The sequence below is a fragment of the Homo sapiens genome, chromosome 16, assembly GCF_000001405.40.
Source record: "Homo sapiens chromosome 16, GRCh38.p14 Primary Assembly".
NCBI lineage: Eukaryota > Metazoa > Chordata > Mammalia > Primates > Hominidae > Homo > Homo sapiens.
Genome location: NC_000016.10, coordinates 73139073 through 73160949, shown reverse-complemented (window position 1 = coordinate 73160949; position 21877 = coordinate 73139073). Strand labels below are relative to the sequence as shown.

At 43.1% G+C, this 21877-nt stretch overlaps 1 protein-coding gene across 2 annotated transcripts in view, besides 3 other annotated features; it reads left to right on the top strand.

The window, feature by feature from the left end:
• ZFHX3 (zinc finger homeobox 3) overlaps window positions 1–21877 on the top strand; it is a 1109046-nt gene that overhangs the window by 730981 nt on the left and 356188 nt on the right. The window contains exons 1-2 of one of the 2 annotated variants that reach the window (NR_163978.1): window positions 16503–16640; window positions 17119–17198. The gene's annotated coding sequence lies outside the window, so the exon portion shown is untranslated. Of the gene's footprint in view, window positions 1–16502; window positions 16641–17118; window positions 17199–21877 lie in introns of those variants that run through there. The other variant, NM_001386735.1, reaches the window with a different exon arrangement.
• Window positions 3540–4040: an enhancer, noted in NCBI's record as "H3K4me1 hESC enhancer chr16:73190809-73191309 (GRCh37/hg19 assembly coordinates)". NCBI's record gives its function as "activates a minimal SCP1, AML or CMV promoter by ChIP-STARR-seq in primed H9 embryonic stem cells {active_cell/tissue: H9 hESC(primed)}" and the evidence as "EXISTENCE:reporter gene assay evidence [ECO:0000049][PMID:30033119]".
• Window positions 4041–4541: an enhancer, noted in NCBI's record as "H3K4me1 hESC enhancer chr16:73190308-73190808 (GRCh37/hg19 assembly coordinates)". NCBI's record gives its function as "activates a minimal SCP1, AML or CMV promoter by ChIP-STARR-seq in primed H9 embryonic stem cells {active_cell/tissue: H9 hESC(primed)}" and the evidence as "EXISTENCE:reporter gene assay evidence [ECO:0000049][PMID:30033119]".
• Window positions 7742–8265: an enhancer, noted in NCBI's record as "OCT4-NANOG hESC enhancer chr16:73186584-73187107 (GRCh37/hg19 assembly coordinates)". NCBI's record gives its function as "activates a minimal SCP1, AML or CMV promoter by ChIP-STARR-seq in naive H9 embryonic stem cells {active_cell/tissue: H9 hESC(naive)}" and the evidence as "EXISTENCE:reporter gene assay evidence [ECO:0000049][PMID:30033119]".

Below are 21877 nucleotides of genomic sequence, written 5' to 3'. Positions count from 1 at the left end.
AGTTATAGCCAGACCAGAGTGTCTGTGAGAGGGCACCACCCAAGAATGTAGATTAAAAGGGGAGAAAAATGTGTGACCATTTTTACCACCACAGCAGTGTACATCTAATATATTATGTACCTCTAAAGGAAACGGTAATTATCTTGTAAATCCTGTCTAAAAAAAAAAAAAAAAAAAGAAGAGAAAAGAAAAGAATAAGCATGATAAGCATGCCGTGACAGGATTCCTATTTTGCTTGAAAGGGTAAAGCAATCCAAATATCTTTTCTTTCTTGCACTCATGGTAAGAAAGATGCTACCTTGAACCAAGCAATTAAGGAATGTGATTATGATGGCAGTAATGAGGGAAATGCAGATGGAAGGAGGGTTAAACCCTCTATGTAGATGGAGGGAGGCTCAGAGTTTAGAAAACGTGACTGTGGGGTAGGAAAAAAAAAGGGGACAGAAAACTACACCTGCTAAGCCCTGTGTGGGTGTGGAGTTCTCATCCTTAGAAATTTGCTCAGGATAGCTAGAATGAGAAACACTGCTTCCTGTGAAAGAAGGTCATCAACATGCTAGAAACAACCTTTGCAAATCACCATACTCCCTACTCAGGAAGACTCATAAGGTCCTTGGCTTTTTTTGGTTGACGGGCTATTTATTACTGATTCAGTTTTGGAGCTCATTGTTGGTCTTTTCAGGGAATCAATTTCTTCCTGCTTCAGCATCAGAAGGGTACATGTGTCCAGAAATTTATCCACATTTTCTAGGTTTTCTAGTTTGGATAAGGAAAGGGAACAATGCTCTTACCCAGAAAGGGAGCACTGCCATTGCATAACAGCTAATCATCACATATCCAAACAATGCCTTATATTTAAGGAAAGAAGTCCCTAATAATCTAGCTTAGGCCGGGCGTGGAGGCTCATGCCTGTAATCCCAGCACTTTAGGAGGCCAAGACAGGCGGACCACTTGAGGTCAGGAGTTCGAGACCCACCTGGTCAACATGGCAAAACCCCATCTCTACTAAAAATACAAAAATTAGCCAGGCATGGTGGCACGCACCTGCAGTCCCAGCTACTCGGGAGGCTGAGGCAGGAGAATCGCTTGAACCTGGGAGGTGGAGGTTGCAATGAGCCGAGATCATGCCACTGCACTCCAGCCTGAGTGACAGAGCAAGACTCTATATCAAAAAATAATAATGATAATATAATAATCGAGCTTAAAGGACAAAAATAACAACTTTGGTTATGGCTTATTATGCAGCTTTTGCCATAATAACAAAGTATCCCAACACTTAGTAACTTAAAACAATCAATTATTTCTCACAATTCTTGGGGAAGCTGGGCCATTCTCCGAGTCTGAGTTGGCTTGACCGAGATGGATAAACAAGAATGGCCTCCCTTTGGTGGCCTGGAGTAGGCTCCGTGTCAGCTGAAGTGGTTCCTTATTTCTCAGCAGGCAACCCCAAGCTTCTTCACATGGTGGCCTCAGGGCTCCAAAGGACAGCAAGATAGCAAGCCCTGGTGCACACATACTTTTCCAGTTTGGGTTTGTGTCACCTTAGCTATCCTCCCATTGGCCGAAAAAAAGTCATATGGCCAGACCAGAGTCTGTGAGAGGGCACCACCCAAGGACTTAGATAAAAAGGGGAGAAAAATGCGTGACCATTTTTACCACAATGGCAATGTACATCTAATATATCACGTTCTTCTAAAGGAAGTGGTAATTATCTTGTAAATTTGTTTGTTTAAGTTCCTTATAGATGCTGGATATTAGATCTTTGTCAGATGCACAGTTTGCAAACATTTTCTCCCATTCTGTAGGTTGTCTGTGTACTCTGTTGACAGTTTCTTTTGTTGTGCAGATGCTCTTTAGTTCAATTAGATCTCATTTGTCAATTTTTGCTTTTGTTGCAATTGCTTTTGGCATCTTCCTCATGAAATCTTTGCCTGTTCCTATGTCCAGAGTGGTACTGCCTAGGTTGTCTTCCAGGGTTTTCATGGTTTTGAGTTTTACATTTAAGTCTTTAATCCATCTTGAGTTGATTTTTGCATATGATTTAAGGAAGGGATCCAGTTTCAATCTTCTGCATATGGCTAGTCAGTTATCCCAGCACTGTTTATTGAATAGGGAGTCCTTTCCTATTTGCTTGTTTTTGTCAGCTTTGCCAAAGATCAGATGGTTGTGGTTGTGCAGTCTTATTTCTGGGCTCTCTATTCTGTTCCATTCGTCTATGTGTCTGTTTTTGTACCAGTACCATGCTGTTTTGGCTACTGTAGCTCTGTAGTGTACTTTGAAGTCAGATAGCATGATGCCTCCAGCTTCGTGCTTTTTGCTTATGAGTGGCAACGATGTACTCAATCCTACCTAAAGAATCTAGAAGAATAAGGGTCAATGTTGGTTTATGCTGTATATGTCTAAATGTAAATGTTTGAACTCTTGTGAAAAACGTTTACAAGTGTATATAACTGATAAAAAAAAGTTTTTAAAAGAAAGAAGAGAAAAGAGAAGGGAGGGGGAAGGAAGGGAAGAGAAGAAGGAAGGGAGCGAGAAAGAAAAGGAAAGAAAAGAAAAGGACTTTCATGTCATATTTAGTTTTATTACTTTGCACTGGCAGAATACTACCAGTCTTATAAAGATTTTAAACTATTCAGTTGTCATTACTTGTCTTGAAAAAAAGCCTCCTATCTCCTGAACTCCTGGCTGGGTTAGATTTCAACACTGTAGCGAGGTACTCATGGTATGTGTCCAGGAACCCAGGTTTCTAATCCCCAGAGTGGTAAATGCCGGGGCTGCTGTCCCAGCCTGGGAAAGAACAAAGATGCAGACCTGCAGTGTCCCATTCTTAGGACATAATTAATGTGCTGGTAATTTTTTTCATCAACAAAGGATTACCAAAATACCACATGATTTCCTCCAAAAATGTGACCCTCCCTTTCCTGTCTCATTTTTTTTTTCCTGGATCCAAACATGGTTTCCATTGGCCTCACAAAAACTGTCACTTCTGTTCATTTTCCTCAACTCATCTCAGTTCCTGCATCCCGAGAAGTCCAGAAATGCTAATGCCAATTATTAGCAGACTCTTAAGGGGCTGCTTCTCTCTCTCAGAGGCTCTTCTCTAAAATGCTTCTTCTCCTTGTGAGGCCAATGGCGTCCATGGCAGCCCACAGCAAACCTCGTGGCGTTATAAAAAGCCAACTAACTAAATAATGCCATAGGAATCTTAATGACTGGGGTCATTTGGCCAACAACATTACACAGTTTTTTCCTCTCAAAATTTAAGCATTCAAAATTACAAATATCCCATCCAATTCAGATTTAATTACTGCTGTTCAAACTTTAAGAACTTTCTCAGTTTCAATTAAGCCAAATTGGAAACAATGAACTGCTAAGGGATAGTGACTCGACCCCCTTTTTTAAGGAGGAGCTGAAAAATGGCATAATTATTATATCTTTCAGATAAAATGTCTATCGTGGACTGGCCTTTTTTTTTTTTTTTTTTACCAAACATTCCTAAATCACCCAGGACAATTTCTCCACATTGATCATAGCCAAGAATGAAGTTAACCTGTGGCAAGCCCGATGTCTGATTGGGCCACAGAGACCATTGTTTCCACAACACAAGTCCGTGTCTGATAGCTGAGCTGATGCAAGGTTTAAGTATGGCAGAGGGTATTTGAGGGAACAACTGTCACGGAAAACCCAGGACTTAAGAGGCACCATCTACCCAAACATACCTGGAGCTACTCTGTACCATCTGCTGGGTAAGGAAAGGGAACTAAAGGAGACAGCCCTTTGGGGCCTTCAAATGACCACATTCATGACTTGTCCTCCCTCCTGTGGGTGGCTAGACTTCAGAGGCAGGCACATCTGAGTGCGCTTTAGAAACGTGGCTTATATCCCGGGCAATATAGTGAGAACTCGTCTCTACAAAAAAATTAAAAAATAAGCCAGGAGGCCGGGCACGGTGGCTCACGCCTGCAATCCAAGCACTTTGGGAGGCCGAGGTGGGCAGATCACGAGGTCAGGAGATAGAGACCATCCTGGCCAACATGGTGAAAGCCCATCTCTGCTAAAAATATATAAATTAGCTGGGCGTGGCGGCACGTGCCTGTAATCCCAGCTACTCGGGAGGCTAAGGCAGGAGAATCACTTGAACCCAGGAAGCGAAGGTTGCAGTGAGCCAAGATCACACCATTGCACTCCAGCCTGGTGACAGAGCTAGACTCTTCAAAAAAAAAAAAATTAGCCAGACATGGTGATGTGTGCCTATAGTCCCAGCTACTTGGGAGACTAAAGTGGGAGGATCACTTGAACCCAGGAGGTCGAGGCTGCAGAGAGCCAGGATCACCCCACTGCACTGCAGCTTGTGTGACAGAGTGAGACCCTGTCTAAAAATTAAATTAAATTAAAAGAAACATCTCTTATACAAAGCAAGACCAGGAGCGAAGGCTTAGTTTAAGAGAGCCCTACCTGTTTGGGAGATGTCTTCTTGAAATGATGACGGATCCATGGTAGCAGTTCTCTGAAGATCCATTTCAGTCTGCTTTGCAATCTACCCCATTGTCTGTAATGATCATCTTTTTTAAAAACCACAGTTTTCTTTAAGTACCTCAAATCATTTTTTTTAATGGGAACTACTCACCCACCTATCAGCTAGTTCTTATAATAAGCCTGACTTTTGTGTTACTGGAAAAGAACACTTTATATATAGTCTTTTTTTTTTTTTTTTTTTTGAGAGGGAGTCTCACTCTGTCGCCCAGGCTGGAGTGCAGTGGTGCGCCCTTGGCTCACTGCAAGCTCTGCCTCCCGGGTTCACACCATTCTCTTGCCTCAGCCTCCCAAGTAGCTGGGACTACAGGCATCCGCCACCACACCCGGCTAATTTTTTGTATTTTTAGTAGAGATGGGGTTTCACCGTGTTAGCCAGGATGATCTCGATCTCCTGACCTTGTGATCCGCCCATCTCGGCCTCCCAAAGTGCTGAGATTACAGGCGTGAGCTACCACACCCGACCACTTTATATATATTCTTACATATATAACATATATGTGAGTGTGTATGATATGCATATGTACTATATATAATGACATGTGTCATATATATATACATATATACATGTAGTTTGTTTGTTTGTTTGTTTTGAGGCAGAGTTTCTCTCTTGTCGCCCAGGCTGGAGTGCAATGGCGCGATCTCGGCTCACTGTGACCTCCGCCTCCTGGGTTCAAGCGATTCTCCTGCCTCAGCCTCCCGAGTAGCTGGGGTTACATGCGCATGCCGCCATGCCCAGCTAATTTTTTAATTTTTAGTAGAGACGGTGTTTCACCACATTGGCCAGGCTGGTCTGGAACTCCTGACCTCAGGTGATCCACCCACCACAGCCTCCCAAAGTGCTGGGATTATAGGCATGAGCCACTGTGTCCAGGCTTCATATATATTATTATATCATTGTGTCATTATATCACTAGCACTTGTTTAAAATGTGCTGTATTTTGTCACCATTGGCTGTTCCACTTCCATGGAAAGCTGAGGGATTGGGGCAAGGGCTGAATTTCCACTCTGTTTCCTCTTGGGCAACAAGATCCTTGCTGTCTGGGAGTTGCCCCTAGCTTCATGTAGGACCAACATCCTTTATATTGACTACTGAAGCCTAAAGCCCTAAGAATTATTTACCTTTAAGCATGTGCTATTTTGGTTTGGTAGATCAAGTGAAACTATTCAGAGTATACATGCCAACTGAAAAAAAAATCTTTTTATTTTTTCCTTTTTTTTGTTTTTTTTTTTTTTGTTTTTTTGAGACAGAGTCTCACTCTGTCACCCAGGCTGAAGTGCAATGGCCCAATCTTAGCTCACTTGCAACCTCTGCCTCCCACATTCAAGCGATTCTTGTGCCTCAACCTCTGAGTAGCTGGCACTACAAGTGCAGCCACCATGCCAAGCTAATTTTTGTATTTTTAGTAGAGATGGGGTTTCGCCTTGTTGGCCAGGCTGGTCTCGAACTCCTGGGCTCAAGTGATCCTCCCACCTCAGCCTCTCAAAGTGCTAGGATTACAGACGTGAGCCACCACCTGTAATCCCAAAAATATCTTTCTTTATCTTTATGCTGGAATCCAATTTATGCTTGTTTATTTTCACAATCTTTGCTTTTGATTTTTTTAATGGCCTTCACCACAAACATCTCCTCCTTTCTTCACCCATCTTTAGTAGTATGAAGCTCTTGAAGGTTGAGCATTTTGCATCTGATGTAATGTCCACTTTTTCCCCAGAACATATTTCTATTTTTCAAAGCCTCAAATTACCATAGTAACTATCAAGAGTCCCTAAAATGTATGTTGCATTCTCTGGACTTAAACCTACTGCAGAGTCACCACAAATGCCCTGAGGATTGTGAAAGAGCTTCATCCTGGGCTGCAAGAAAAGCCGCCCACCCCCAAGTCATTCATTTCTTTCCATTTTAGTGTGTCTTGGGGGAGACTGAGTGACAGACCTGCAAGGATAACGGAATCATCAGTAGAGACTCTGGTTATTGCAGACAGGGAGTGACTGTCCAGTGGCCGCCTGTGCCCAGTCACTGGTGCAGGAGAAAGAAGAGGAAGTACAGAAAAACGGAACAGGAAACAGATGGGAGACATGATCTCTCCAAACTCCAAAACTTCTGAAAAACTTCAGACCAGCCTGGTTGCTTGAAGATTAAGACAACACTGAGATCTGTGCATTGACCGAAGAAAGGCCATCGGAAGCAGGCCTCAGCAAGGAGCCATGTCACGTGGATGCCAAATCCCAGGGGCTGCAGTTCTGCAATACCCAAGGGAAGTGAGAAAGCAAGACAATCACTGAGTCCATCTGGACTGAGATGCCGACCAAAGATTGCACATTTTCGCAATGGTCGCCTTCACCCCAGCATCACGTTGACAGCCAGAATCTCTGCAGACGTGTGATTTGGGGTTAAGAATGCTTGTTTTGAGGCCAGGCGCCGTGGCTCACACCTGTAATCCCAGCACTTTGGGAGGCTGGGGCGGGCGGATCATGAGGTCAAGAGATGAAGACCATCCTTGTCCTTAATTATTAATAATTAAATTATTAAGGCCTGTCCTTAATAATTTCATCCTGGCCAACATGGTGAAACCCCGACTCTACTAAAAATACAAAAATTAGCTGGGTGTAGTGGTGTGCGCCTTTAGTCCCAGCTACTCAGGAGGCTGAGGCAGGAGAACTGCTTGAACCCGGGAGGTGGAGGTTGCAGTGAACCGAGATCACGCCACTGCACTCCAGCCTGGCGACAGGACTAGACCCCATCTCAAAAAATAAAATAAAATAAAAAAAGAGTGCTTATTTCTTCCCTTAAACTTAAGAGATATTTATTTACTGAAAATTAAAGCCCGTAATGGTGACCAGAGGGAAAGGACCCAAGTCTTCCTCACCTGCAGCCTTTAGGGCTCACACAAGGGAAGGAAGGGGACAGAACCTGGAGTTAATGTGTTGAGGCCATTTTCAATGACTCCAGTGCAGAAAAATATCAAGGATCTAAAGGGCTTCATTAAAATTCACCCCAAGGCTAGGTGTGGCTGTAATCCCAGCACTTTGGGAGACGGAGGCAGGAGGCTTCTTTGAGTCTTTGAGCCGGAGTTTGAGATCAGCCTAGGCAACGTAGGGAGACACCTTGTCTCTAAAAACATAAAATAAACTTAAATTACAAAATTCATCCCAAGGTGCAATTATTTATCGAAGATGATTCTTACATCCAAAGTTGAGAGCTCTGGGAGAAACTTTCCAGGTGGGAATGAACATCCAGGCTTCCATGTTCCCTTTCTTCACTGGTTTGGCAAGTGGTTTGGGGTGGTGGGGCTGGAGGGGTAGGAGAGGGTCTCTCCCTAACAACCAGAGAGTTTAACCTGCTTCCTGAGGAGATGCTAAAATCTGACAACCCAGCTGACCTCCTCCTAACAAAGCCTGATAGCAAAACCATCCAAAAATTCCAGACACCCCTCCCCCTTCACAGCAACTGCATTTCACTTGTGACCCGGCTCAGCCTGTGGTCAGGAAAGAGCCTTTGAACACATCTCCAGAGCTGCAGCGATTAGAAGGGCTTTGATTACCCGGCTCAGCTGGCCCTCTCTTCTCGCGATTACTCCCCTCCCTTCCCCCCAGCCCCCTTCTCTCCCCTCCTCACCCCGGTAGCCCAGGCCAGGGCTTTTTTTTTTTTTTTTAAGCAACTCATTTTTTTTCTCTCTCTCTCTTTTCATTTTCCTATAGCATCCTAAACCTCAAGATGTGGTTAACACTAATCCTGATTTATTTAGGATTTATCTGCATTATTAATTCCAATCACGTGAGAAAAAAAAAAAGAAAGAAAAATGCTACAGGCCCCTAGTTTGTATACAAAGTTTGGGTGTTTGTGAAAAGAGCCAGCAATCCCTAAGAAACATATTTTCTTTAGTTATCATTTAAATCTAAACAACTTTCTTTTCTACTCTGAAAATGTTCCTTGAAATGGGCCCTGTCCTTAATAATTTCATTTATTATTATTTCTCCCTCAGTCAATATCCTTTGAAGCTACTTCCTGCATTAATCTGGACTTAATATGGATTTAAACATTGACAATGGAAAATAATTTGGGTTAAAAATAATCTTCCTTGATAAAGCTAGAAAACTCCCCACAACTGTCACCGTCTCTGACAGCTGGGAATAGAATGCGATTCTTGAATCTGCATATTGAAGATGAGGAAAAGCAGAACTAACAGGCTGTATATTATATTTTTTATTTGTCAGCTGTTATGACTGACTGGAGTTGAGTGATATCCAGGGTCTTGACTTGTTGTTTGAATGAATTCATCATCGTTCGGGACATATGAGCAGTTATTTGGTGCCTGGGATGTACTGAAAATATCTTGTTGGAGTGAGGGAAATGTCTTAGGGATGGAAGCTTGCGTGTCTCCTCCACAGAGTGGCTTCTCAGTAACTGATAGGGCCCAGAGGTTCCAAACCCCCTTCCCAGCTCTCTTCTCCGCCCCTCTCCTTTTCTGTTTTTTTCTGTGTGGGTGGGGTGGGGGTGGGTCTTTTCTTTCTTTCTCTCTTTTTTTTTTTTTTTGTTTTTTGCATTCTTCTTTTAACTGATATAATGCTGGAAATAGAAAGTTCACTTTTCTTTGTGTAGCCCCCGGCAAGGTCAGTGTTATCACGTGAATTCTTCCTGAATTTGACTCAAGGAACCCATGGAGATTGGAATATTTTCATGGGAATTTAGAGGAATTCAGATTAGATCTCCAACTCTACTTCGTCAGACCTCAACACGTAGGACAGACCTAAATGTGTTTTTATTTCTCGGGCACCTGCAGAATGAAGGCTCCTGGAGGAGTAGAAAGTGTGTGGCATTGATTCATCACTGCCATTCCTATGCCCGGGCAGGTATCACCAATCAATCACGACATTCTTTCCCACCGAGCAGGAGGCAGCCTCTGTATCCTGATATCAGACCCAGATCCTTCTCACAGTTCCTCAAGGCCTTCCTCCAACCTGCCTCTGACTGGTTCCCCCTTTCATTCCTGCTACAGAATGCTGTTCTCTACATGCAACATTCCTTTCCCAACGAGGAAGCCTTCTCCAACCCCCACACACCTTCCTTTCCCCTCTGAGATGCCTGACCTCAGTAACCAAGTCTCCCCTTCCCTCCATGTCCCTCACCACTTTTTGTGTTGTACGTTTTATTTTAATAACATTTACCTCCTTCCAAAGTAATATAAATTCATTATAGAAATTATATACAATACAGATATGCAAAAAAGTTGGGGATTTGGTCGCCCTTAGCAATCACTCATCTATTTTCTGTCTCTATGAATTTTTGTGTTGTGGACATTTGATATAAATAGAATCATTCAGTGTGTGGTTTTTTGTGACTGGCTTCTTTCATTTAGCATGATTTCAAGGTTCTTCTACATGGTAGCATTCATTTATTCCTTTTTATTGCCAAATAATATTGCCCATTCTGTGTAAGACTTCCTGTTTTGTTTTTGTTTGAGTGATGCCGGTTTCAACACTGTATTCATGTTTCTTATCTGCGCGCACACTTGAGTTGTGCCAGTGATTATTTTTGGTAGAATTCTACTGAATTTACAAAGAAATCCAGTTCAACTTAGTTCAACAGACACATGTTAAGGGTTAAAATGTACAAGATTCTTTGCTAGAAAGTGCTGGAGATACAAAGATGTATACAGGCTCTGTCATCCGGGAGTTTGCAATTTATTTACACCAAATCATGAGAGCAAATCATGTCCACCAGTCACTCTGATACCCCTGGCTTTTAACTACTCTTTTAGTTTACATTATATAGATGAAGACGTGTAAATGTTTTTCAAGGTGATTTCATGCTTTTATGTTTATATCCTGTTATCTTCTAAGGCACTCCAAAACAGAAACTATGGGTTCTATTTCTTTTCTATTATAATAATATAATTACAACAGCTGCCACTTGCTGTGTATTTATTTTATTTGATATGCAAAACAATGTGTGAGGTAGTTATTGTTACTTTCATTTATTGATGAGGACACACTGAGGCTGACAGTGGGAAGTAACTTGGCAAAGGTCATCTGCTGGGAAGGGGCAGGAGCAGGACTTGAACCCAGGGCCATCTTACTTCAAAGAAGCTCACACATTTGATTACTGAGCCACACCAGCCCCAAACTACAGGGATAACATTCTTAGCAGCCAGTAGATGACATTGTCCACCTACCACTCTGGCCAGCCCCTATGCACCTTGGTCTGGACAACCTGAACCAGTCTGTGGTGGGGGAAGAGTGAATCCAAAGGGGCCTGGAGCCTCCATCCAGCAGCATCTGCGGTTGTGTCTGTTCTACTCTTCTGTTGACAGTGGTGGAAAATGTAACTCCCCCAAAAGCTCCGTCTGCTTGGTACAAGAAATCATTGAATGTCATCTTTGGAAACGACCATTCTGGAATCAAACTGTAGAAAATGAAAACTTAGGGATAACAAATTAGGAACCACTCAACCCAAAATGTGTCCTTTGACTGCGCAGGTGTCAGATGGAAGCATCTGAGAACTTGGGCCTCCAAAGCGGTCTGACTACTTCTCCAGACACACCTGCCTGCACTCTGCTGTCATCTTCAACAATAAGGCAGGTTACATCTGTGAGTCTACATAGCACAATGAAGACAATAAATATTAAATAATAATTATTGTTTCTTTCACATTCGCTGACAGGATAAAATCCAGGTAAAGAGCCTTTAAGGTCTAATTACTTTGTAAGCATTGAAACCAAACTGCTAGTTGAAAAATTAATTGTGGAGCAGTCAGAGACGGAGTAGTAGGAAGTTGTTTTGAGCAGTGGTGTCACTCTGAAACGCCGCAGAAGATGTAGAGCAATAAACACCAACGCAAAGTGCCGAAAATGACTGAGCAAGAGAGGACTAGATGTGCAGCTGGTAGCGCATGGACTTTGGTTCATTTCCTGATTACTTTGGCACACAACAGATGTGTGGAGTGAGTGGCCAACTGAATTAATTAACTAATAAGCGGAAATGTCATTAGGGATATTTAGAATAATATGGAAGTGATCTCTACAGCATGAATGAAGGCCCCACATGTTAATAACAATAATTTTTATTAATATAACAAAATATTATATTAATGACATTAATATTAATAAAGTATAATATCTGCTGATAATATTATGTAATGTCAATATAAAATAATATTATAATATAATATAAAATATAGTAATGACAATATGAATATAATTAATAGGATAAAATATAATATAAAGTAAAATATATTGGCATTTATTAATAAAGTATAATATCTGTTGATAATAGTCTATAATATTAATGTAATTATATAAAATATCAACAATAATTGCTGACATTTACTGAGCACTATGAGCCAGGCCCTATTTTAAGTGCTCTATTTATATATATAGCACTTTATATATATATAAAATATATATATAATCTCATTTAATTCTTACAACAAATTGTGAAGCAAATACAATCATCCTCTTGTTTTGTTTTGAGATGGAGTCTTGCTCTGTCGCCTAGGCTGGAGTGCAGCGGTACCATCTAGGCTCACTGCAGCCTCCACCTCCCAGGTTCAAATGGTTCTACTGCCTCAGCCTCCTGAGTAGCTGGGACTACAGGCTCATGGCACCACACCTGACTAATTTTTGTATTTTTATTAGAAACAGGGTTTCTCCATGTTGGCCAGGCTGATCTTGAACTCCTGACCTCAGGCGATCTGCCTGCCTCAGCCTCCTGAAGTGCTGAGATTATAGACGTGAGCCACCATGCCCAACCCAACTTTCTTTATTTTTAAAATGAGGAAATGGAAGCACAGAGAAGTTCAGTAACCCTCCCAACATCACACAGATAATAGTAAAAAAAAAAAAAAAAAAAAAAAAAAAAAGCCCAGCATTTGCCAGACGAAGGCGCATTTGCGGCCATTCTTTAATCTCTGAAGAAATTACTGAGTTTCTAGGACCTTAAAGAAGTATCCAGAGATTATCCAGTTCATAGTTTTCAAATTGCTGCATGGAACCATGGAAATTGCTGTAGAATTTCTACCAACCATAGATTATTTCTGCCAAACAAGGAAGAGTTCAGCTTCCTGGGGAAATATTTGTTTCTTGAACCTGCTTTGCATATTGAATTTCCACATAAGATTTTAGTTTTAAACAAAGGAAAGAGTGTTCCATTGTTGTAGGTCAGGGCTGGCAAACGTTTACTATAAAGGGCCAAATGGTAAATATGTTAGGCTTCACAAGCCATGCTGTCTCTGTCATAACAAGTCAACTCTGCTGTCGTGGTGCAGAAAGAATCATAGACAATACATAAATGAATGAGTGTGGCTGCGTTCCAATAAAACTTTATTTACAATAGTGGGCCATGGGCAAAATTTAGCCTGCCAGCCATAGCTTGCTAAGCTCTGGGCTAAGTCAGCTCCCTGTGGTCAAGTAGAGTTTGCCTAAACTTTCTAAATAGATACTGGACTTTCTTGCTCACAAAGAGAAGATATATTATCCAACACCTCATATTTAACAATGTCCATCATGGAAAAGCCCGGGCTATGGGTTTTTTTATTTTTGTTTTTGGGAGAGGATCTCGCTCTGTCACCGAGGCTGGAGTGCAGTGGCATGATCACGGCTCACTGCAGCCTGGAACTCCTGGGGGCTTAAGTGGTTTGCCCACCTCGGCCTCCGGAATAGCTGGGACTACAGGCACACACCATCATGCCTGGCTAATTTTTTTTTTTTTTTTTTTTTTTTTTTTTGAGACGGAGTCTCGCTCTGTCGCCCAGGCTGGAGTGCGGTGGCGCGATCTCGGCTCACTGCAAGCTCCGCCTCCCGGGTTCACGCCATTCTCCTGCCTCAGCCTCCCGAGTAGCTGGGACTACAGGCGCCCGCTACCACGCCCGGCTAATTTTTTGTATTTTTAGTAGAGACGGGGTTTCACCGTGTTAGCCAGGATGGTCTCGATCTCCTGACCTCGTGATCCGCCCGCCTCGGCCTCCCAAAGTGCTGGGATTACAGGCGTGAGCCACCGCGCCCGGCCCAATTTTTTTATTCTTATTTTTATTTTTCAGTAGAGACGCAGTCTGGCTACGTTGCTCGGGCTTCAGGCTGTGGTTTAAGGCAAAAGGAAACTGCTGTGTTTTGAAGGTTGAATTTGTCTAACAGTCTAACAGTTCTACATCCAAATTCATCCCCGTTGTACCTGTGTTGGGTGGATGGCATGATCCCCTTTAACAATGAAGAAAACAGGCTTAAAGAGGTAGAAGTAGTACCTCGAGTCATGCCAACGTCTCCCCATATGCCATCATACCATATTGGCATGGCCAAAGCAACATGGCTTATCCTACAATGGAATACAGTGGAAGGTCATTGATGTCACCTTTAACCTGTTCTTTTCCAAGAAAAACAATTCCAGTTCATTTCCCAACCTCACTTTTCTCCCTAGGATGTTTTACTACTTCTATTAATAAGAGGCTTAAGAACTAGTACTACCAGCCAGGCACGGTGGCTCACGTCTGTAATTCTAGCACTTTTGGAAGGCCAAGGCAGGTGGATGGCTTGAGCCCAGGAGTTCGAGACCAGCCTGGGCAACATGGCGAAATTCCACATCTACAAAAAATACAAAAACATTAGCTGGGCTTGGTGGTGGCGCCTGTAGTCCCAGCTATTTGGGAGGCTGAGATGAGAGGATTGCTTGAGCCTGGGAGGTCAAGTTTGCAGGATTGTGGCACTGCACTCCAGCCTGGCAACAGAGCAAAACACTGTCTCAAAAAATAATAATAATAATTAATTAAAAAATAAAAAGAAAGAAAAGAGTTTAAAAAACTAGTACTGCCATGTTCATATGGTTTTCTCAAGGCATAACTCAAGAGGAGAATAACCTTGCAATTTCAACAAGCCGTTCTCCCATTCATGCTTTCTAGTTGTTTATTGTCTGTCTTAGCAGAGGCTGCATTGGGGGTTTGTATTAGCTGATCCTCCATGGTCCGTATGCCTTTCAGAAGATCTTTTTTTTTTTTCTTTTGAGATGGAGTCTCGCTGTGTCACCAGGCTGGAGTGCAGTGGCTCGATCTCGGCTCACTGCAACCTCCGCCTCCCGGGTTGAAGCGATTTTCCTGCCTCAGCCTCCCAAGTAGCTGTGGCTACAAGCATGTGCCACCACGCCCAGTTAATTTTTGTATTTTTAGTAGAGACGGGGTTTCACCATGTTGGCCAGGATGATCTCAATCTCTTGACCTTGTGATCCGCCCATCTCAGCCTCCCAAAGTGCTGGGATTCTAGGCGTGAGTCACCGCACCCGGCCCAGATCATTTTTTATCTCTATACTTTGTTTTCCTCCTCCTGTTTTTGTCTCTCTTAAATTCATACTATCTTGGGAAATTTTGGAATTCTTCCAGTTTTGTAACCTCGTTTTCATCAAATATTTAATGGCACTACTAGCCTGGTTATATGCCACCAGTAGATAAAGAAATCTAATTTCTTTCCCCTGCCTGAGATAGGTGGAAAATTTGAGGCTGGGCTATTGATAGTTAGAATACTAAATCTCTTCCAGAACACATTGATTGCCTTCTTTTTATGTTCGCTGAACTGTCTTGGACTTGCAGGACCTCTTATATCTATTTTTCAATTCATTCTGGATTGGTTTCATTTCAAGAACCAATCAGCCCCATTCAACAGACAATACGAGGTTGGTGCCTTCCCAGAAGTCAGTGACGGTATCACCTCTCATAGCTCTCAGTTCCAGAAAAGTCTGTGGCCATGCGTCACCGCAATCCACCTCCATGACTGAATGGAAATCCAGCTGCATGTGAAACAGAAGAGAAATCCATCATAAGTGGAAAACTCAGTCATCAATAAGCGGCTCTGCAGGCCTTTCAGTTAGGGACCAACCACAGAACTGGCTCTCCATCAACAATCAAACAGTCTTTAGCTGTGATCAGCCACTTCCATCACCTCTGAGACTGGCAGGTTTCCAATAAAGCCAATCGCCCCCTCCCCCCAGGGTAAGGTCCTCCGCAGGAGGCTGCCATTGTCTTTTAGCCCAGCAATTTGACAACAGTGTTAGCTGACACTCTATTAGCCAGCAGCTACACCCTGACCTCTGACCCTGACATTGGCCCCTGGCATTGGACCCTGACATTGGCTACACCCTGACCCCTGACTTTGATCATGTGAGGTGGCCCGACCTGCTGGTCAGCTTGAGAGAAAGCTGGCCAGGACCGAGCAGGGCTCTCTGGTCACCCCTGCTCCCCCAACAGGAGGCTTGAGCTTGAAGTACAGAAACAAGCCCGAGTTGAACCTAAGATGGCAAAGGTGAAAGTTCAGAAGCGTGTCCATCAGCAGCCTGTCACCACAGGACGATGTACAAACCATGGGGGCTTTCAGCACAGGGATAGCCGTTGTCACCAGACAGTTCTGCTCCTTAATGGAAAAGACGTGTCAAAATATGGCTTACAAAATACAAAATAATGGACTGAAATGTACATTATATGAGGGTGTTAGATTGCAATGTACTTTACAGTGGGGGAATTAGATTGAAGTGTTATGCCAGGGTAGTTAGGTTGAAATATGGATTATCCCAGGAATGTCAGCTTGAGATGTGCTTTATAACACAGTTGTTCAATTAAGATATGCTCTTCAGTGCAGGCATTAGCCAAGAGATGTGCATTATAGCCAAGTTGTTAGGGGAAGATGTGGATTCCACTTTGCGGGGAGGGGCGGGTAGGAGAGAGGAAAACACCTTGGGTTGAATATTATTCAAGGTTAGGGAATGTCTTCTGCATTCGTTGGGTTTCAGGGGTCTGAATACGTGGAGTAGGACACAGCGTGGTGTATAATGTTCCTTCCCGTCTCCTTTCTCCCCAGCCAAACAATCTGCCACTTTCCCCACTTTTCCTGTTAGGGACTTAAAGGCTTCCCCCATCAATAAAAACATTAGCTCACTAAACAGCCTGATGGCTTTTCCTTCCCTGGCTTAACCCTTCGGGAGCTGGGGTTTCCTTTGGATTTGTAAAGATATTGATTCCAGATAATGTTTGCCTTTCTAACTCTCTCTTCCTTAGACTTGATGGATAGGTTCAGGGCTACATCTCGGCAGCCAACTCACCGCAGCTACCCAGGGAAAGAGGAATGGAAAACGAGGCAAGTGTTCAGTAGTTAACACCATTTGAATCCTTTCCCTGGGATAGACGGGGAGAAATGCGGTGGCCAGGAGAATTCCATGAGTACAAGATTTCACTTTCAATTTCCCTCATCCTTGTCCTGATCCCGCTACCAATATTTCTTTAGTTCGACTTAGAGTGTTTTATGATTTTTAATTAATATCAGATGCTGTCTTGAGGTTGGCTGCCCTGAGTTTCATTTTTAAAAATGCCTTTCCCAGTTCAAGAATGTGCTTTTCTATAGCCTAGGAAACATAAGTGAATACAGGGAACTGTGTCATTTGCCTTGATACTGGCCGACAAGGGGGTGACTTGAATAAACCCTCACCCTAGAAAGAAATCTTATTTAAGAAAAATAAGTGAAAAGCAATGGGAGAATCATTCATTAGCCACTTGGCCTGCGAAGGTTTGCCAAACATCTCCCCAACCGTGTTTTTGTCCTTTCTTTTCTTCTTCAGCTCGGAAGATATAAGTTACAACCCCCAGAAGTCTAGCCTAGCGCTATTGGATGGTGTCCAGCTTTGCCGGAATTAGAGAGGTGAGTTCCAGCTTTCTTGTTTCTCAATGAAAGAAAATGTTATACCAGGTGAGTTAACGCAGTCAAAAAAGACTAACCAGCCAGACAAGGACACCAAACAAAACCAAACAGTTCAAAGGAAATTGCAGTGTTACTAGACACCTCTGCAGTGTGCCTGGGGTTTCAAGAAAGAGATAAGCAGGCATTTCTGTGTGCATTTTTCGGGCCGTATTTCTCTAGTTAGAAAAGTGGGTTTGCTGCAAGACAACAGCATTTACCTTTCCTGGCTGAGCTTTCTGTGGGCAAAACACAATGAATGTGACAGAAATATGCTGTCCGGGTGAAGGAAGAAGAAAAAAGCAATTTCACCCACCCTACTATGTCTCTGCCAATGTTATCTTTGTCAATCTTCCCACTTCTCGTCTCTGAGCATTTCTTGGTGAAGGCTTCGTTAGAAGTTGACCCTATTCTCTAGCCTGGTGAGTTCTCTTCTCTTCTCGGGGTCCATTTCTGCCTCATTTTCTAACGTCATGCTTTCCTTAAAAATAGGCTATGAGAGCTATTTCTAACCTCCGTCAAGGGATCCGTCCAACCAGACTCCCATGAGATGTGAGAATGAGCTTAAACCAATCCTAGAGAAGAAAGGGGGGAAACAAGGTTGGCTTATTCTCAGACTCAGTTAAAAAAAAAAAATCTGTTGGGTCAAGTGACATATTTGAGGCCCCTCCCTAGAAGGGAAATGGCAATATGGTTCTACTTAAGCACCACCTAAAACTCCACCTGAAAGAAGAGACCAAATTGTATCCTGGCAGAATCATGGAAGCCTGGGGATTAGGAGCAGCTTTGGAGTCCGTTTCATCCCCATCACTTAATGGCCTTGTTAATATGGACCAATCACTGGGCCTTTCTGGACGTCAGTTTCTCCATCCATGAAATGGACATAGTAGTATCTGACCTATAAGGATATTATGACTCTCAAACAGGGTAGTGCATATAAAATGCTTAGTCTTGTGCCTATAATCATTCAATGAATAGTAGCTGTTAACTTTATCATTTTATTACCATATCAACATCTAGCCCCAGAGCATTGTGCCAATTCACACCAGCGCCTGCGGCATTGACTTATCACATTCCACACTACCCGTCATGCACTCATTAACGCATCTGGTTTTAAAAACACAATGTATCTCTTAGCCTCACTGCTTTATGTGACTACTGTTTATAAGGATTTTCTCTGTACAGGAAGAAGGGTGGCCCTGCCGATGGGGGGAGAAACAGATTACAAGGGCCTCACTGATGGAATATAATCCCCCCTCTGTACTCACTGGTAACTAGCCATGATTGTATTTCAAAGGTAACAGTTCTTCTCTACGGCGGGTATTGGCATGCAGTCTGCAAATAGGACCTAATGTGATCCGACAGCCCTGATTTCTCTAGATATATATTAAAACAACATGCCCAGTGCTGATGGCTCAGAGGTCCTGACCTTTAACAAGGACTTATGACGTAAGGCAACCTGCCCAGGAGAGCAGGCAGGGCAAAAGGCCAGAGGCACAAGGTCATCATGGGCTAATGAAGTGGTCAGCATTGAGTTTCTGTCACTCAGCTGGTTAAGAGGAAACAGAGGGGGAAGTAAAAGAAAATGGGAACATTTAAGAAACAAAGGGAGGGACCATGTTTGAGCTAATGCTCTGGAGGTGAATGATATTGTCAGATGGCAGGGTGATGATGTGCAGCCCATCAGAGCCTTCATCGCAGCCTTGTTCAGTTTTACCTGCTCAACAGGGGCTGGTTGAAAGAGCATCTGCAAGAAGCCAACTCAGTATAAACCCTGAGTTAGAATGAAAATAAACAGGTCCTAAACCACCCTGCTCTTTGTTGCAAATCTGCTCCAGACACACAGTCAGGAAAGAGATCAAGATTACAGGCTGGGCAGTGGCTTCCAGACCTATTCTTTCTCTGCATGGGCAGACTACCTCCTGAGCCTCAGAGTCAGAATCTGAAAAACTGGAATGATAATGCCACCTACCTCAAAGGGAGGGTGGTAGGATTAAATGAGAAAATTTATTTAGCTGAGCATGATGTGATGCCTTATGTCTGTAATCCCAACGCTTTGGGAGGCAGAGGCAGGAGGATCGCTTGAGCCCAGGAGTTTGAGACCAGCCTGGGTAACACAGCAAGACCCTGTCTCAACAAAAAATTTAGAAATTAGCCCTACACGGTGGAGCACAGCTGTAGTCCCTGCTACTCGGGAGACTGAGATGGGAGTATCCCTTGAGCCCAGGAGTTCGAGGCTATAATAAACTATGATCGAGCCACTGCACTCCAGCCTGGGTGACAGAGCAAAACCCCGTCTCTGAAAAAAAAAAAAAAATTATTTAAAGAGATTAGCACAGTGCTTGGCACAAAGTGATCAGTCAAATATCAGCAACTACTTTTGTCATTCCAAATACTCTAACAATCTCAGAAAGCGTGTGAGCTTTTTTAAATGGGTAATACATTGTATATTTCAGAGTAAGACAGTTCCATGAGTTCCCACTGATACAATCTCTAAGGTATTTCACTGGTGGAGTACTTTGAATTTCTGAACCATTCACCCAGTCGGCAAACATCTATTGAAAACTACAGTATTAGGTCATAGGCGTGGTATTATATTGAATCAGAATCATTCTTGACTTTGTTCTTTCACAGCCCGACTGGGGAGGCAGAAACCTCAAGATGTAGAGTGTAAGTGGCAGCATATTACAAGATTATGCTATGGGGTGGGGTGACCAGCTGCTCTTGAGAAGGCTAGAGAGAAGTCAAAGAGAGGGGCTTCTTATCTCTTCCATCACTTGATCCTCCAAATGATGCCTTGGGGAGTGTAAAGCCAAGGTTTCTCTCCCCATTCGTGTTTTTTTGCTTGTTTGTTTGTTGTTTTTGGGACAGAGTCTTACTGTGTCACCCAGGCTGGAGTGCAGTGGCACAATCAGCTCACTGCAACCTCCACCTCCCGGGTTCAATTGATTCTCCTGCCTCAGCCTCCCAAGTAGCTGGGACTATAGGCACTTGCCACCACGTCTGGATAATTTTTGTATTTTTAGTAGACAGGGTTACGCCATGTTGGCCAGGCTGGTCTTGAACTCCTGACCTCAAGTGATCCACCCACCTCGGCCTCCCAAAGTGCTGGGATTACAAGTGTGAGCCGCCACGCCCGGCCTCCCCATTTGTTTCAGGTATGAAAAGGTTGAGACCTAGTCAGGTTAACCCTTGCCTTTGTTTGCCACTGTTAATAGTAGAACTGAAACCTTTAACCCGAACTCCAGACTTCCCTGAGAGCACTGTCTCAGCAGATCAGGATGAATCAGGTCCAATGATAGCCATTAGAGGTCCAAAAATATTCCTCTTAATGAGCACTTTGATCACAGCCAGATTATAATCCAACTCTTGAACATCCCTACACAAGATACGGATGGTTTTAGTTTCGTTTACTGAATTATTAAAAAGGTCATTTTATTTTATACCTTTTTTTTGAGACAGGGTTTCACTCTGTCTCCCAGGATGGAGTGTAGTGACATGATCATAGCTCACTGCAGCCTCAAACTTAAGCAATCCTTCCCAACTCGGCCTCCCAAGTAGCTGGGAATACAGGCACGTGCCCACCATGCCCAGCTAATTTTCAAATTATTTGTAGAGATAAGGTCTCACTATGTTGCCCAAGCTGGTCTCAAACTCGTGGCCTCAACGATTCTCCCACCGTGGCCTCCCAAGGCGCTGGGATTACAGGTGTGAGCCACCATGCCTGGCTCCATCTCACTTCTGAAAGTGAAGCACTAGGGGTTTGTGGAAGAAGCACTGAGCTGAGAGATTGAGAACCAGTACGCTAGTCTCAGCAGTACCATGGTCTCCCTCAAGTCCCATAGCCACTGATGTCTCAGGTCCTGAAACTTTTCTTCATATTCCCTACCTACCTCTGCCTTACAAAGATGATATGAGGATGAACTTGAAAGCATTGATCCAAGGAAGCACTCTGAGTGTTTAGTAGGGAGCATAAAGATTCAATGGAAAAGATTATCAAATTAGACTGTTGTAGCCTGGGAATAAAGAGTTGGAGCATCACGGCGGCAGCCAACTCCCTGTTCCCATCATGACCCAGCCAAAGCTCTTTCCCAGGATTCAATGCCTTGGGAAATTTTTGGGTTTGGAGACTTTAGGAGAACAGCGTAATGACTCACATACCATTAACCAAGGCTGTTCTTTTTTTCTCTCAAATATAGACCTAGCTTTAAGCTTTATTTTTCTGATTAAAAGATAATGTACAATATCTTGAGAAATGCAAGCAATTTATCAAAGCATAAAAATTAAAATCGCCAAAAATTCCACCACCCAGAAGTAAACACGGTTAACCTGGACTTCGTCCTATCAGATATCTCCTATGCATGCACATATACATATGTTTTATTTCGTGCCAGTGGTATCATAGTATGTATACTGTCTGCAACAATATACCATGTCAGTGGGTTATACATTTTCAATAATTTTTGATGATTTTTCATAGTTTCATTGCAATGACTGCATTGCATTCCAGTGTTGGATATACCATTGTTTATTTAACTAATTCCCTATTAATGAGCAGTGATGTTGTAAACAATGAAATGATGGACATCTTTGTGCTTAGTGAATCTGTCTCGTCTCATTAGGATAAATTTCTGTAAGGCGGA